Source organism: Homo sapiens, chromosome 13, assembly GCF_000001405.40.
Source record: "Homo sapiens chromosome 13, GRCh38.p14 Primary Assembly".
Classification (NCBI taxonomy): domain Eukaryota; kingdom Metazoa; phylum Chordata; class Mammalia; order Primates; family Hominidae; genus Homo; species Homo sapiens.
In genome coordinates, this window is record NC_000013.11 from 77,685,943 (window position 1) to 77,703,410 (window position 17,468).

At 38.1% G+C, this 17,468-nt stretch overlaps 1 protein-coding gene and 1 non-coding gene across 5 annotated transcripts in view, besides 3 other annotated features; one reads left to right on the plus strand and one right to left on the minus strand.

Annotated features, from left to right (window-relative positions):
• Positions 11,503–12,062: a silencer, noted in NCBI's record as "silent region_5420". NCBI's record gives its function as "represses an Ori minimal core promoter by ATAC-STARR-seq in GM12878 lymphoblastoid cells {active_cell/tissue: GM12878}" and the evidence as "EXISTENCE:reporter gene assay evidence [ECO:0000049][PMID:35858748]".
• SLAIN1 (SLAIN motif family member 1) overlaps positions 11,745–17,468 on the plus strand; it is a 66,543-nt gene continuing 60,819 nt past the window's right edge. For 2 of the 4 annotated variants that reach the window (NM_001411026.1, NM_001242868.2), the window contains exon 1: positions 11,745–12,597. In NM_001411026.1, coding sequence (NP_001397955.1) covers positions 11,972–12,597 — 626 coding nt within the window. In that variant the 5' untranslated portion in view covers positions 11,745–11,971. Of the gene's footprint in view, positions 12,598–12,938; positions 13,116–17,468 lie in introns of those variants that run through there. The other 2 variants (NM_001366665.1, NM_001040153.4) reach the window with 1 other exon arrangement.
• MIR3665 (microRNA 3665) lies at positions 12,070–12,174 on the minus strand. Its single transcript, NR_037438.1, has one exon. It is a non-coding gene; the product is annotated as a microRNA 3665 (primary transcript).
• Positions 12,263–12,502: a silencer, noted in NCBI's record as "silent region_5421". NCBI's record gives its function as "represses an Ori minimal core promoter by ATAC-STARR-seq in GM12878 lymphoblastoid cells {active_cell/tissue: GM12878}" and the evidence as "EXISTENCE:reporter gene assay evidence [ECO:0000049][PMID:35858748]".
• Positions 12,663–12,812: a silencer, noted in NCBI's record as "silent region_5422". NCBI's record gives its function as "represses an Ori minimal core promoter by ATAC-STARR-seq in GM12878 lymphoblastoid cells {active_cell/tissue: GM12878}" and the evidence as "EXISTENCE:reporter gene assay evidence [ECO:0000049][PMID:35858748]".

A 17,468-nucleotide genomic window follows, 5' to 3' on the forward strand; every position in this document is an offset into this window, starting at 1 on the left:
AACACCCCACTGTCGACATTAGACAGATCAACGAGATAGAAAGTCAACAAGGATACCCAGGAATTGAACTCAGCTCTGCACCAAGCGGACCTAATAGACATCTACAGAACTCTCCACCCCAAATCAACAGAATATACATTTTTTTCAGCACCACATCACACCTATTCCAAAATTGACCACATACTTGGAAGTAAAGCTCTCCTCAGCAAATGTAAAAGAACAGAAATTATAACAAACTATCTCTCAGACCACAGTGCAATCAAACTAGATCTCAGGATTAAGAATCTCACTCAAAACCGCTCAACTACATGGAAACTGAACAACCTGCTCCTGAATGACTACTGGGTACATAATGAAATGAAGGCAGAAATAAAGATGTTCTTTGAAACCAACAAGAACAAAGACACAACATACCAGAATCTCTGGGACGCATTCAAAGCAGTGTGTAGAGGGAAATTTATAGCACTAAACTCCCTAACTCATTCTATGAAGCCAGTATCATCCTGACGCCAAAGCCAGAGAAGGATATAACAGAAAAAGAAAACTATAGACCAATATCCCTGATGAACACAGATGCAAAAATCCTCAGCAAAATACTAGCTAACTGAATCCAACAGTACATCAAAAGACAATACACCATGGTCAGAAAGGGCTTATTCTAGGGATGCAAGAATGGTTCAACATACACAAATCAATAAATGTGATTCATCCCATAAACAGAATTAAGGACAAAAAGCTTATGATCACCTCAATAGGTGCAGAAAAAGCATTTGATAAAATTTGGTATCATTTTGACACCAAATTTCATGACTAAAAACCCTCAACAAACTAGGCATAGAAGGAACACTCCTCAAAATAATAAAGGCCATATATGACAAACCCACAGCTAACATCATAATCAATAGGGAAAAGTTGAAAGCATTACCCCTAAGAACTATAACAAGACAAGCATGCCCACTTTTACCACTCCTATTTAACATAGTACTAGAAGTCTGAGCCAGAGCAATCAGGCAAGAGAAATAAATAAAAGGCATTCAAATAAGAAAAGAGGAAGTGAAGTTATCTCTTTTCTCTGATGATATAATCTTATATCTAAGAAACCTTAAGACTTTACCAAAAAACTCTTAGATTTGATAAATGAATTCAGTAAAATTTCAGGATAAAAAGTCAATGTACAAAACTCTATACACATTTCTACACACCAATAATGAGTAGCATTTCTACACACCAATAATGATCAAGCTGAGAAACCAAATGAGCAATTCCATTTTGAATAACTACAAAAAAAAAGGAATATATTTAACCAAGGAGGCAATTGATCTCTACAAGGGAATCTACTGATGAAAGAAATTGTGGATGACACAAGCAAATGGAGAAACATCCCATGCTCATAGATTGGAAGAATTAATATTGTTAAAATATCCATACTGCAGAGAGCAATCTACAGATTCAATGCAATCCCTGTTAAAATATCATCATTTTTCACAGAATTAGGAAAAGATATCCTAACATTCATATAGAACCAAAAAAGAGCTTGAATAAAATCAAAGCAATCCTGAGCAAAAAGAACAAAGCTGGAGGCATCACATACCTGACTCAAATTATACTACATTGTTACAGTAATCAAAATGGCATGGTACAGGTATAAAAACAAACATATAGATCAATGGAACAGAATCAAGAACCTAGAAATAAATGCACATATCTAGAGCCAGCTAATCTTTGACAAAGTTGACAAGAATACACACTGGGAAAAGATAGCCTTTTTGATAAATAGTCCTGGGAAAATTGGATTGCTATATGCAGAAGAATGAAACTGGACCCCTATCTCTCACTATATACAAAAACAAACTCAAGATGGATCAAAGGTTCCAATGTAAGACCTGAAATTATAAAAATACTAGAAGAAAACCAAGGAAAGAGTCTTCTGGACATTGGTCTCGGCAAATAATTTATGACTAAGACCTAAGAAGTACAAGTAACTAAAGCAAAAATAGGCAAACTCGAGTTAATTAAACTAAAAGCTTCTGCACAGCAAAATAAATATTCAACAAGTGAACAGACAACCTGTAGAATGGGAGGAAATATTTGCAAATTATGCATCCAACAGGGGACTGTTATCCAGAATTTACAAGGAACCCAAAAAACTCAACAACAACAATAAAAATAACCCCATTAAAAAGTGGACAGAGGATGAGAATAGACAATTTTCCAAAGAAGACATAGAAATGACCAATAAGCATATGAAAAAAATGCTTAACATCACTAATCATCAAAAAAATACCAATTAAAATCACAATGAGATACTATCTTACATCAATCAGAATGGTTATCATTAAAAAGTCAAAAATAAAAGATGTCAGCAAGGATGTAGAGAAAACAGAATGCTTATACAAAGTTGGTGGAAAGTAAATTAGTAAAATCTGTACAGAAAACATTATGGAGACTTCTCAGAGAATTAAAAATAGAACTACCATTCAGTCCAGCAATCCTACTAGGTATCTACTGAAAGGAAAGAAATCATTATATGAAAAAGATACCAACACTCCCATGTTTATTGCAGTACTATTCACACTAGTAAATATATGGAATCAACCTGAGTGTCCATCATCAACAGACTGAATTAAAATGTGGTATATATATATACAATGAAATAGTATTTAGTCATAAAAAGGAATGAAATCATATCTTCTGTTGCAACATGGATGGAACTGGAGGCCATTATCTTAAGTGAAGCAACTCAGAAACAGAAAGTCAGATACTGTATGTTCTCACTTATAAGTGGGAGCTAAATAACGTGTACACATGGACATAGAGTGTGGAATGATAGAAAGTAGAGACTCAGAAGAGTAGGAGGCCAAAAGGGGTAGGATGATGAAAAATTGCTTAATGGGTACAATGTACATTATTGGTGTGATGGATACACTAAAAGCCAAGACATCACCACTAAACAAATATACGCATGTAACAAAACTGCACTTGTGCTCATTAAATGTACACCCATAAAAAAGAAAATGTATACCAGATAAATAAAAGTAAATGCATAATTAGACACATTATGAGGAAATAGCAAAACACAGACATGTTCTTAAAATCTACCAGGGAGAATAGAGACATACAATTAAACTTATTATTACCAGTAGATGCCAGAAGAGATAAAATTATGTCTTTAAAATTCTTAGGGAAATATCTATCTACCCAGAATTTTATTTCTAGCTAAAGCACATTCAAGGATGAAGGTAGAATACATACATTTTTCCACAGACCCTTACTAAAAACAAACAAAGAAACATAAAAATAATTTTTATAAAAAGGAAACGGAAACACACCCAGAAGTAAGAAAGAGATAAAAGAAAAAATGCGTATAAATTGATTTTTTAAACCAGTAGTTTATTTACTGTTAAAATAACTATTTGTGTGTGTATGAGTGTCACCTCAAAAGAGGTGAAAGTAAAAATCTAGGCAATAGTAAGTATACAGAAAAAGTGTTAATGAATTCTAAAATCCCTGTTCTATTCATACAAGGACATAAATTGAAAATTTGTTAGAAAAATTTATTCTTGAACATGATTCTTAAAAAATGAAGGGTAACTGCAAGTAACAGAAATAAAATTCATAGCATTTGGATGAGCAGAGGGAAAAAATGAAATATATAAATTTAAAACTCCAAGGAAAGGTAGAAAGGGGGACAAAGTGTAGTGAAAACAAAATATTCTGATAAAAATAAGTTCAGAAATAGCAATTATTACAATAAATGTAAATACCTAATAAATAACAGAGATATAAGATTGAATGATAAAATCCAATTATATTCACCTTATGCAAATCACTTCTAAAACAAAGCAACTTAGAAAGATCCGAAGATTAAAATTACTACCTAAAAGAAAGCTGAAGTAGCAACATTAATATTATTGTTAGATGGAATATATTTTAAGGTAAAAGTAATTGAACAAGAAACATTACATAATAACAATTGGGATGCTTCAAAGAATATCTAAATCATGAACATGTATGCATAAAATATGTAAAACAATAAACACATATTTTTACGTATACATTACCATAATAGCACATTTAAATACTTTTCTTTCAGTAATTGATAATGAGTAGGACTACAGAAGATTTGAATAACATAAGTAGGCAATTTGATTTCAAACAAATATACATAAGTTATGTATCTATATAAATATTATACATTTAGATAAATATATTTATATGAATTATTATATGTGTGTAGGTACCCTGCACCTAACAAATAGCATGTAGACATACTGCTGCTCCAGTACAAATTGAACATTTCCATATATTCATAATGTACTAAGCCACAAAGGAAGTCCCATCAATTTCAAGGAATCAGATTTATACAGACCATAATTTCTAATTACAATGCAATTATTTAGGAAACAATAGTAAAAGATTGATTTTTTTTTTTTTTGGAGACAGAGTCTCGCTCTGTCACCCAGGCTGGAGTGCAGTGCGCGATATCGGCTCACTGCAAGCTCCGCCTCCCGGGTTCCTGCCATTCTCCTGCCTCAGCCTCCCGACTGGCTGGGACTACAGGCGCCCGCCACCACGCCCGGCTAATTTTTTCTGTATTTTTAGTAGAGACGGGGTTTCACGTGTTAGCCAGGATGGTCTCCACCTCCTGACCTCGTGATCCGCCCGCCTCGGCCTCCCAAAGTGCTGGGATTACAGGCGTGAGCCACCGTGCCCGGGCAAGATTGATTTTTTAAATATGTACACACATATTACTCTGAGCCAAAGACGCAATAACAAAGAACTTACAGCCAAACAACCACATAAAAAAATTACAAAATTGATGAGAATCACCCAAAATATTTTTGGTAAATCTTAGCCTTCAGTTTATTCTGTAACAAGAAATACTATGTAAAAGATCTATTGTAGTAGGCAGTGCTATACGTGAAATATTTCCAGTTCTGCTGGCCATATGGTACCATCGCATATCCCTGTTCCCCTGAGGTTAGTTGTAACCACGTCACTTGTTTTGGTAAATGAAATGTGAATGGAGGGAACTTTTGCCACTTTTAGGCAGGAGCTTTAGGAGCTACAATTCAGTTGGCCAGATCATTTTTTTTCCCTTGGCAATGTCAGAAGCATGGAGATGGAGCCTCTCTTAGCCTATGCACTGGAGTGAAGATGAACCCTGAGTCTGTATCATCCTTCTGCCTGTCCACATGTGAAGTGTAGCAGCATCAAAGGAACTGATGTCACCACCTCATTTTCAAGTTAGGCTTCCACAGTAATTCTCTGGATTTCTGTCTTCTAAAAGCTGAATTACTTTAGATTTTCTTCTTTCAATATGCATTTGCCATTTGTTGGCCTAATCACCAAACAAACATGTAAAAATAATTTTTATAAGGAAACAGACCCATAGCTAAGAGAGGTATAAGAAAAAATGCAAGTATTAATTGATTTTTAAGCTAGTAATTTAACTATTTGCTGATTATTTTATTGCTTCTTATTTTTTCTGTCTCCAGTCTTCCAGTAATATCTGAGAGCTTTCAGACACAGTTTTCCATGTACTAATACAAATTGCTTATAAATACCATCAAGAAAAGCCCAGAGTCTGAAAACAGAGGCTTTCAGCTGGTTATAAAACTGGAAAACTGTCCTGTGTCTTAATTCTCCCTTATCCTACCAATTTGACCATCCCTTAGTTACCAGAACCTTTCATCTTTGAACGTTTTGCATTTTGATTTGAAGACGACCACAGCTTCCATAAAGTATTCTATGACAATTGACACATATATTTTTTTCTGAAAATAAACAGAAAATATTCCTGATGATTAAAAAAAATGTCTGTAATCACAATGACCCAATCCTTTTCTGACAGGATTATAATCATTGTTTCTGTGAAGGATTCAGGATGAGATATTGTAGTTGAAACACAGATCACCCCTCTATAATATCATTGTTACTCTTTTCTGAAAATTAATTATTTGCAAAGACTATGAAGATGCACTAATTGAAGGTTTGTTTTGAATAAACTTGCAGCAATTTTTCTGAAACTGACTTATAACTTCCAGAATGTGAGGATTTGGCAAAGAGAATGGTGCACTATTTTCTGTGGGCTGCCTTCCATTGCAGTTTACCTAGATTCCAAGAATCATGTCCTTGCACCTGTGTCAGATTCTGTTATGAGAACGACAAGATCCACTATCAGGAAGGCTTGTTGCCCTGCCATGTCACACAGACTTTCAAATGATTTCTAGCTTTTGTTTGTAACACTTAGGTGTGATGGCAATTTTTTTTTTCAGAGGAGTTTTATAAAAGCTCTGTAAATTATCAAAGAAAACTAACCATTTTCAATTAAAGAAAAAAATCGATCACATTGACTTTTATGATGAGAGAAACATTTGAGGAAAATGAGAAAATAAATAATTCTAAATCCCAATATTTTCAAAAGCTTTAAAGTAGATAGCCAACGTGATAGTAGGATAAATTACCACATTTTTCCAGCTAGATTCAAATTATACCGAATTCATTCATCTCTGTAAAGTTAAATTTTGAAAAATAAAGGTGCTTTTACATAAGATATTATTTTTCAAAGTTTAAGTAATCTTGGGCACTTATTTTTAAGAAGAGCAAATCTTGTTCAAAAATGTCTATTTGCTTTGGGTAAAAATGTTTCAGATTTTGAAAAAAGTCTCTGATGGTTTATTTTTATTTTCTTATTTTACATTTTTGAACTTTAAAACATTTCCAAAACCAGTATTGGATCTGTTTGGGTTTGATATAGGTCGTGACATTGTTTCTTTTGAGTATTCTTAAGAGTGGTATTGACATTTGAAGAATCCAAATGGCTAGAAATGCAAAATAGGACAGTGATAATTTATGCTGTTTTAGTCATCTGCTCAGAAATGCACACTGAATGAATAGCCATTGTACTGTCAAAAATGTTGTACTAGCACTGGGAACTTTGTTGATCTTGGAAGCTTACTGTTTTCTAATCTGTGCTTGGTGACCTTTAAAGTTCCAGTAATATTTGCCTGTTAATGAATCAGACTTTGTTCAAGGCATTCCATTGACTGATTTTGCATTAATCAATAGTTTTTACTTAAAAGCCACAAAGACCAGAGCAGAGTACTCTGCTTGGTGCTGCTTAAGACCTAAAAAGAGATAATACAGTTTAGGAGCTTGGACTCTGAAATCAGACTGCTTAGCTTCAAATCCTGGCTCTGCCACTTATGGCTGGGTAACTGTGGGCAAATTGACCTCTCTGTGCCTCAGTTTTCTCGTTTATACAATAAGAATAATTATCTCAAGGAGTTGTTTGACAATTTAATAACTTAATAAATGTAAAGGGCTTACAGCAATTCTTGGCATTTAGTAAGCACTAGATAGCTTCTAAGATAAATTGTAGAAAGTTTCTTTCTAATGGCAGTAATACATGTGTGAGCTATTCATAAAAACAAAACAAATCGACCACAGAGGAAAGGATATAGATTAAGAATTAGAGCTGGGTACTATTTCCTAGTTTTCATCCCATGAAGACTGATAAATGAATATCACAATACTTGCCCTGATGCCTTAGCTAACAGCTTGATGAGGAGAACCAAATGAGATAATGAATTCTCTTAAATGAGGAGATCCAAATGAGATAATGGATTCCTTCCTTCCTTCCTTCCTTCCTTCCTTCCTTCCTTCCTTCCTTCCTTCCTCCCTCCCTCTTTCTCCTTCCTTCCTTTCTTTTCTTCCCTTCTCTTTCTTTCTTCTTGCCTTCTCTTCCTCCCTCGCCTGCCTGCCTTTCCTCCTCTCTCTCTCTTTCTTTTAGAGATGAAATATCACTATGTTCCCCAAGCTGGCCTTGAATTCCTGGGCTCTAGCAATCCTCCTTTCTCAGCCCCCTGAGTAGCTGGGACTACAGACACATGCCTCCGTGCCTGGTTGAAATAATGTTTGCTTTCTACTTGAGGCCTTCCCAAAATTTTTAGCCAAAATTGCTCCTTCTTGATCACTCCCTATGCTGTTTATTTATATTTTCTTCATGATACATAACACTAATTTTTGTGTTATAGTTAGTTGCTTATATGCTTCTTTCTCCAACTAGATAAGGTCTTGATGGTGGAGACACTGTTTTCTTACTCACTTCTCAAAACTCATCTAGCACTTGAAAATAATAGACATGTAATGAGTGTTTATTCTAAAGGGCTCTTACAGGTATAGCTTGACAAATCAACAGAATGATTATTATTACTATTATTGTTATTATAACTACCACCACATGTGACCTTATAGGGTATAATTATGTGGGTTTTGGGCATGAATATGAGTAGTAGAGTTGGGTGGGGTTAGAATGGAGCAACTCACACAGGGATTTTTTTTGAATAAATTCTGACTTCTTGTATTTCTGTTTTCTCTTTCCATAATCTCCTTACATTAAAATGCAACACATTAGGTGCAGCAAGTATTTTCCTGGCTATTAACTGGGTCAGATGTAAAATAATTGATTATTATGGGATCTGCAGAAAGCCTCTAGTCTTCCTATGTTGTTACCATATGATAAATGAGGTTTATGGAAATAGCTAATTATGTGTTTGTCTAAATTCCAGCTAGAACTTGGGGATTTATTTATTGATTCATTTATCTTTTAAAATTTTTTGAGTATTTATTTGCCATGTGCTAGACACTGTGCTAGGCACTGCATATGGGCAGTGGGACCTGCAGTGTTCGAGTCTATTCTGTATGTATAAACAGGAATCTCCATGAAGAGGCATAAGAATCACTCAAACATTGTGGTTCAAATCAACTTGAAAACACAGTTGGGGATCTTTGATCTTAGTTTAACACATTAGGTTATTTTCTTTTCTTGCAGTAATTGGATCTATAAACTTGAATTAATGTAGTGCTCATATTAGGGTATGTCAGCTGCACTGATCGCAAAATTTAAACGTATGAATCTTACTCTAGGAGAAATTTTACTCTGGCCCACTAGCAACTGCTAAGAACCATCATTTTCATGAGTGAACTTGGGCAAGTAACATAACCTTGTAAGCTCATCTGTAAAACTGGGATAATAACAGGCTGTTTCTAGATTTCCTTTGAGAATTATTTTTATATACTCAAGAACCTATGGGTGCTTTTGCGATTCTGTTGCTGGATCTATTTAATGTTCATACACAGTATTAGAAATATATGTGAAAAATACAAATTAAAATAAGTTCATGTGCTTTCTTAAAATTCACTAGAGTGATGATAGTTCTGAAGTGTAATGAATAGAGAGAAACATGCATTTCTTTATCCAGTTTTGAATGTGTGATATGTGGATGTTTCACATTACCTTATGGTGTATCAAATGTATGCTTAAAGCATAAACTTTTAAATGAGACATGCACTTTCATTTTTCATATCCTCTTTGTAAACCTCTGAAATCACCTACATATTTTATTTAAAATCAAAACATTACAATTGAGCAACTACAGCATGCAATTTCTTTCAAAACACAAAGCTTACTAATTTGCATCAAAATAAAAAAATCAAGACTGCTTAATTAAAACCTTGACACCATCAACCTCTTTAATTATACGTTAAAGAGACTGGCATCCTGGGGACACCAACTTGAAATCAGTGTGCATTTTGAGTGTCTCTGGTGTGTGTACATGTGCAATTCACAGAAGGGAAAAAAAGAGGGGCATTAAGAGAAAGCAAAAACATGATTTAAATTTTCTTTAGACATTAATAATTTCACACTTTTAAAATAGGTAGGAAAAGGGCAAATTTGTCTTTTCAGAAGAATAATGCAGACTAGAATTGTAAAACAATGTTTCATCTCTTTTCTATGTCTAAATTTCAATGCATGCTTTCTTTTTAAAGAACAAAGATTTTTATGATAATTATTACTTAGAAAACAGGGTTCAAAAGCTTGGCTACTGCTTGTTGGATGTATATAGACCATATTGGGTAAATGAAGGAGGAAAGGGCTGTCTGTTTCTCTCCTTCTTTAGAGTGTATATAAATTGTGCAGTAAAATGACGGCTTTTCTTTACATCTTAATTCTTGTTGTCTTCACTATTATGTGCCTATTCCCAATTTCTTTCTCTAGTCTGGGACCCAGCAGCTCTTTGTTCTCATTGTGTCTGTCGTCTCCCTTTCTTTGTGTTGCAGGGAGATACTGCTACCCGCATCTGCCACTGAGCATGCGGGAAAAATCCTTCAATAGATTCTTTACTTAGGACTTTCAGTAGTATTACTCCATTTCTCCAGGTTTTGGTAATAACCAAAAAAAATCCTAAAGATATACCGAAACTTGGAAAGGTGATGGGTGATACAGGTGGTTAGGTGGTGGGCTAGCAAGCTGGGACACAGGGAAGGTTAAGGGAGTCATCACACGCATTTAGCTAATTTATGGAAGCGCTCACCAAGCATGTTAAATGCAGAACATCCACCCTGCACACAGAAGCTAGAGATGTAGATTAACAACTGAGAAGATACAAGTGTTTCTGAGCAGGAAGACACAAAACCATATCTGAAACCAATAGATACGATGTGTTAGCAGCTCCAGAGAAATGAGGTACATTGTCACAAAGATTGGTATGTAAAGTCCCTAGCAAGGACTTTCACTAGATAGTATATCATCTGAGGATGAGAACCAGTGGTGTAGATTTTTCTCATAATATAATCTCAGGTTTTCCTCTGATTGTGTTAAACACTCAAAATGCTAAGTCAGTCAGTATTCATTGAACACAACTCGATTAAATTCTTCTGCTTAAAAGCCTCTTTTAAAAAAAGCAGATTTGCTCGTTTTCCAAGTGGTAAGAAATAGCAGGTTTGCAGGTGAGATTAAAGTGTATTGGGTAGAATTCTGAGGTTTTCTGTTTTCTGCTTTCCCACCAGCAAGTCTGACTTTAATAACTTACACATTATTTAATAGAAGGAGCACTAAACAATTTTACTCATATTTCTCCCCATAACCATTTTTGCCTATTGTACTCATTGCCCGCATCACGAGCTCTTAGAATGGTTCCTGGCACAGAGTAGGTGCTCAAAGATCTTTTGTTTGGGGAATGCATGAATATACATAGTATGAAAAAAAAAGCAGTTCTTCTTTTATTGTGACAAACAATGATGGTAACAGTTCAAATTTGACTATTTTAGAATAAATAAGTAAACACTTGTCTCCTTAGCAGCTGGCCACTCTACCTCTTAGAGAGAGGGCTTTCTTCTCTTTCTTCTCGGTCTCCTGTCTCCCACCATTTTGCTTCTCTATTACCAATGAGAACATGAGTGGCATGGTCCCAAAGCCTTTCTGTTCCCCCTATCTCCACTTTTCGGTTTTTAGAATAACGATCCCCAGCCTTTAAGTTTTCTATAGGATTCGTTAGCCAGTGGCTATTAAGTGCTGTCACGGAGCCTAACAGAGAGCTGGGAAGGGAGCAAACCAGCGGGCCGGTGGTGCACTACTCGAGGGCCAGCACCTGCAGCTGCTTCTTTGGGAACCCCCTGGTCCCCGCAACCGCCTCAGAGACCCGCGCAGTTCACTGTCCCACCAAGCGGCAGGAGGAGGTGCTTGTGGCGGGAAAGTTCAGGCCAGGTCCAATCAGGCCCCTGGGATTAGGTAGCGAGGGTGGGTGCGGCTCCCCGGCCCCAACCCGGGCTGCCGGCCCCGCCCCCTGGGTGGGCTTCCCCACGGTTCTCCGCCCCCCCCCCCCCACCCGCCCCCTCGGCGCTCTTGCCCCGCCCCGCTCCGGGGCCGCGGCTAAAACCCGGAGCCGCCGCGACGCCCAGGGGACTGGAGGGACGCACTGAGCATGTGCAGATCAGCTCGGTGGTGGCTGCCGCGGCCGGAGGCGAGGGCCCGGTGCTGATGCGAACCGCCGGCTCGGCCTCAGCCCGCGCGTGGTCGGCCCCCCAGGCCGGGGCGACAGGGAAGGAGCCGTAGCCTCCCCGTGGCCCGAGGAGCCGGCGCGGCGGCGCGCACTCCCCGGCGGCCGCGGCGCCCTCGGGGCCCACGATGATGGCGGAGCAGGTGAAATGCGCCTCGGCAGGGGTCAGCTCTGGAGCGGGCTCCGGGCCGGTGGTGAACGCGGAGCTGGAGGTGAAGAAGCTGCAGGAGCTGGTGCGCAAGCTGGAGAAGCAGAACGAGCAGCTGCGGAGTCGAGCGGCCAGCGCGGCCGCCGCCCCGCACCTGCTGCTGCTGCCGCCGCCGCCGCCCGCCGCGCCGCCCCCCGCTGGCCTGCAGCCTTTGGGTCCTCGGAGCCCCCCGGCCGCCACGGCCACCGCCGCGGCCTCAGGGGGCCTGGGGCTCGGGCTGGCGCTGGGCGCGGGGGGCGGTGGCGGCAGCGGTAGTGGCAGCGGCGGTGGCTCCAGCCCCGCGTTCCCGGGCACCTTCTGCCTGCCTAGCCCCGCGCCCTCCCTGCTTTGCAGCCTGGCGCAGCCACCCGAGGCGCCCTTCGTCTACTTCAAGCCGGCAGCAGGCTTCTTCGGCGCGGGCGGTGGCGGGCCGGAGCCGGGGGGCGCGGGGACGCCGCCAGGGGCAGCTGCAGCGCCGCCCTCGCCGCCCCCCACGCTGCTGGACGAGGTGGAATTGCTGGATCTGGAGAGCGTAGCCGCCTGGCGGGACGAGGACGACTACACCTGGTACTGCCTGGCTCCGCTCCTTCCCCGAGACCCTGGCCTCGGGGGCTTCGGGCACCGGGGAGCGGGGGCGGGGGGCGGACGGGGGTCCCCTCGCGGCAGCCGGGGTGACTCCCCGCGGCTCCCGGAGGGGCCGACCCAGCAGGTGTTGAGCCAGGCGGTGACACTTCCCACGATGAGGCTTCTCATGAAGGCAGAAACCTGTTTTCTAATCGCTCCGACTGCGGATGAACCGGCCCCCCCTTCCCCCCATCTGCCATGGGTTCTGCTATTTGCTGATTGTTGGGTCCCAAGCTCCTCGTTAGCATTAAGTGCAAAATCCATGTCATCTTGTCTTTTTGCTCAGTGCTGCTCTTTTCCCCAGTGTTTTCGGAGGGATGACGGGGGATGGTAGGGGTTGGCCTCTGTCTGCGACTGTTACTGTTCTTTCGTTTTAAACGAACGCTGGACAGGATTTGCGTGCTCTTCCTCCTCGGGTGGCATCGGAAGCCGCGCAGTGATGGATCTCTCTTTATAGAGAGGTTCGTTCTTGCTGTTTGAATTTTGCAGTCGTGTGCCCTTTTGCGTTGCATTTTCATTGAAATCTTATTTTCAGAGACTGACTTGCTTTTTAAAATGGGGTGACCTCACTGGCTTTCCCATAAATAGTGCCAATAAAGAGGACTTTTCTTGGAGTGGAATGAACAGGTGGGAGGGACTTTTTTATTTATTTATTTATTTTTTTACCTAGGAACCAACGAACTGTCTTTAATTTTTTAAATTAAACTGTAGAAGAAAAGTGAGATTAGAGAAGCCTTATTTTCTTATTTCTTGGAAACTTTTTAGCTTGGTTATCAGAAAACTTGAGGCTGACAGCATTTATTCAGTTGACATCTGGTTAGCACTGTCTACTTTCCATGAATGAGTAACTTTAGGGGGAGGCTTGCTGTAGTCCTTCTTTACTTTAGGTCCTTTTTATGTAGGACCCTTTCTGTTTTTCCAAGCTGTGTTTTCATTACTTTCTTTGTGTCTCTGTTGCATGATTGCATGGAAGGGATTGGGAAATGGAGATCCTTACTGGTTTCCTATTGGGAACTGCAGTGTTCCTTTTCCCTTACACTCTGTCATGTGAGAGCTCTAACTGTAAAGTACATTAGTTAATTGGTTTCATTCAAGAATCAAAATATATGGAGTTACAGTAAGCCTTTCAGAGGTGTATTCATCATCCACCTTAATACTTTTTGGCAGCTGTGCAGGTAGCTCAAGGTGTAAAAAAATCAAACAACTCATCACTTTTGGGAACTTTAAGCCATTTTTTCAAAGCTGCACCCTTATTTCTGTAAAGTAATCTCAGTTTCAGTCTGAATGTGGTACTAGAAAATGCTCTCATGATGGTCCTTAGATTTCACTAATAACTCTCAGCCCTTATGCCACTTTCAAATTATTTTAGGTTGATTTAGTCCCTACTTAGCCTTTTCTGATGGTATGTATGTAAACAGTGGAAGGAAACTTGTTTACATTTTTGATGGGGAGATATATGGGATCAGTTTTATGCTTAAAATATTTGCATTTTAAAATTTATTGTGATATTGTTTGTAAATATGAGATTAGTAATCTATTAATAACTTTCCTTCTTTTGAATGGATTTCTGTCATATTTAGTTAGCATCCTATTACTAGCATTTTGGTACCTAGGCTTTCTTTTTATAGTTTAATTTTGTCCAAATAGCATTGAAATAATCAACTTTAACAGAAATCACCCACTTAGTGGTATTAGTATATTAGCTCTTCAGATGGTTTGAAGCAAATCAAAGTTGAAGCAGGTTCTATTTCATTCAACAAGTACACAGGTGAATAAATCAAAGCCTTGATGCTTTACAAATGTTTCTAGAGACAAATGGCAGAGAATCTTCCTGAAAACAAGCCTGAGATTAGAATTCCAGGTGGAAAAACAAGGAGGGTTCATTAATCTTAGTGGGATGGTCTTAAAAATTTTAAAGTTACCTGATTTACATAATTTTATTATTACATTTTATGCATCAAGATTTTGTTTGCATTGCAAATCTTTTTGATGAAGAAAATATCAACAGGGTTTAATTTTTAAAGTTTAACCCACTTGTTAATGCTTGCAAAGCACTCTGTTCCTTTATCACTGCAGACTATAGTGTCCCAGTAGTGTGGTCTCAGAAATAAGAGTGCTGTTCATTTGGTTCCCTGATATGTTTGCAGGATGGCAACTTATTTTTATTTCCTGTGTTTATTAAGAAACAACTGGAGTGGGTATATAGTACCTTATTTTAAAAATATTTAAAACTACAAGTTTTACATGCTCATTGTAAAAAAACTAAAACATAGATGTAGGTATAAGGTCACAAAAATTATCTTCCTTGTCCCCAATTTATTACCGTGACTCAGAATTCACCCTGTTAATACTCTGCAGCTCCTTCAAGATAAAAAAATATAATTACAACAATCAATATACAAACATATACACATCAGTTTTTTTTAACACTTGCCTTTCATTGAACATACATTGGACATTTGTGTATTCATGTGACATCACATCTCCCAGTAACAAAGGCATCATTATTAGAGTAACAATATTAAGGAACAAGTTACTGTTAACTGTATCACCTACAGTTTTTCATGCATTTTTTATTGTGATTTCATCCTAATGGGTTGAACAAAATGTGTTTGCTTATTTATTTAGAATAGCACTTCCTGCTAAAAATGTCATAAGTTCAGGAAAGTTTACAAATGTAGATTAATCACTGGATATTTTAGCTATTCTTTTATGTAAGTATATCTTTTCTAATAAAACCTTAGAATACATTATTTTCCTTTTATTAACAACTTGGACAATATTTGGGTTAAGAGTTATGTGTGTAAGGAAAATCATGACTAACAGAACCAATATTTTCTTTATGATAGTTCATTAGTTAATGATTAACCAGGTCTTTGAGATCATTTTTCTGAATAATTATTTAACCTATAAGTAGTATCTTAAAAAAAACAGCTTTAAAGAGAATGGAGTGTTATGCTCTCCCTTTTGACAAAAAAGCTTTGATGAAACAATTTTCTTATTTCTTTGAATATTTATCTTAATTGAATTTTAAGTCTTGAATGTTGCCTTAATACTACCTGATTATCTTAGCACAGTATTGCTGGAATTAAGTGTCTCAGAAAGTTAAAGTTGATGGCAATTCCAGAACCTGAATTCTTTCTTTCTTTCTTTCTTTCTTTACTTATTTATTTATTTTTTATTATTATACTTTAAGTTTTAGGGTACATGTGCACATTGTGCAGGTTAGTTACATATGTATACATGTGCCATGCTGGTGCGCTGCACCCACTAACTCATCATCTAGCATTAGGTATATCTCCCAATGCTATCCCTCCCCCCTCCCCCCACCCCACTACAGTCCCCAGAATGTGATATTCCCCTTCCTGTGTCCATGTGATCTCATTGTTCAATTCCCACCTATGAGTGAGAATATGCGGTGTTTGGTTTTTTGTTCTTGCGATAGTTTACTGAGAATGATGATTTCCAATTTCATCCATGTCCCTACAAAGGACATGAACTCATCATTTTTTATGGCTGCATAGTATTCCATGGTGTATATGTGCCACATTTTCTTAATCCAGTCTATCATTGTTGGACATTTGGGTTGGTTCCAAGTCTTTGCTATCGTGAACCTGAATTCTTAAGTCATCTTATAGCCCTATAGTAAAACTCTCATCCTGCTATACTGATTCCTCAGTTATCTTACTAATTTGATAGGCTTAGCTCTCCAGAAGGCCATTGGCTAGAAAGGAAAAGGGAAAAGTCTGAGTATCAGGAGCAAATAAAAAGCTCAAAGGGACTAAAATATCCATGCATACATGGGACACAGTGTGATTGGATGCTTTTTCTATCTTTATGGAAGAAATGTTTTTAAGATTTATATTTGTCCTAATGTCACCAGGCTCTGCAGCACCAGAGTACAAACAGAGTAATTCAGATTGGTCTGAAGTGGCAATGGGAGCCATTAGCTAACTGCATACTAGACCTTCCTATGACCTGTTTCAGCCCTCTTATTTCAGTGTTGAGGGACGGGAGCTCTGAGGCAAAATGGCTTATGTAAGCTCTTCTAGTTACTGATAGAGTTCAGACTAAAAATCAGATTATTTGTCCAGATTCAGAAGTGTTTACATCACTGATATTTTTTTTTCCCCAGAGCTAGCTGTGTAACTCATTAGTAAGTTTATAAAGTCAATTTAGTGGATTGACCAGCATTTTAAAAAAGTGAAGTGCAGTAGAATAGAAAATCAGAGTTTATCACATCTTATAATACAATGCTTGCTTTGATTAAATATGTTTTAGTTTTATAGATGTGGAAATATTAAACGTATTTTTGCATTATGATCAAAGTTAACAAAACTCTATACTGTTTGAAAGCAAAACGGAGAAAGCAGGTGGAAAAGCACTGAAGATAGTATAGTACTCTGAAGGGAAGTTAGGTCTTGCACACCTCAACCAGGAAGATGGTTCTATATGAGAAAATGCCACGATAAAAATAAGTCAGCCAATATAAAATGCAGCCATATAAGGAGGCTTTATTTTAGTAGAATGACAATTAACAGAACATTGAGACTATATAAACAGGATGTGGCAAGGATTTTTAACTTTCCCAACTGGGAAAGACAATGGAAAAGTTGTTAATTATACAAGGAAAAATGGTGACTTGTACAAATTAAGAAAAATTTAATGAATGAGATATTCATCTTCCACATGTAATACCAAGACCCCAGACAGCTGGCTAACATCATTGCCAATTTTTCATCAAAGCTGTTGAACACCTTGTGCTATACATATGGCACAACTAAATTAGACCACCTAAACTGTTTTTTGCATAA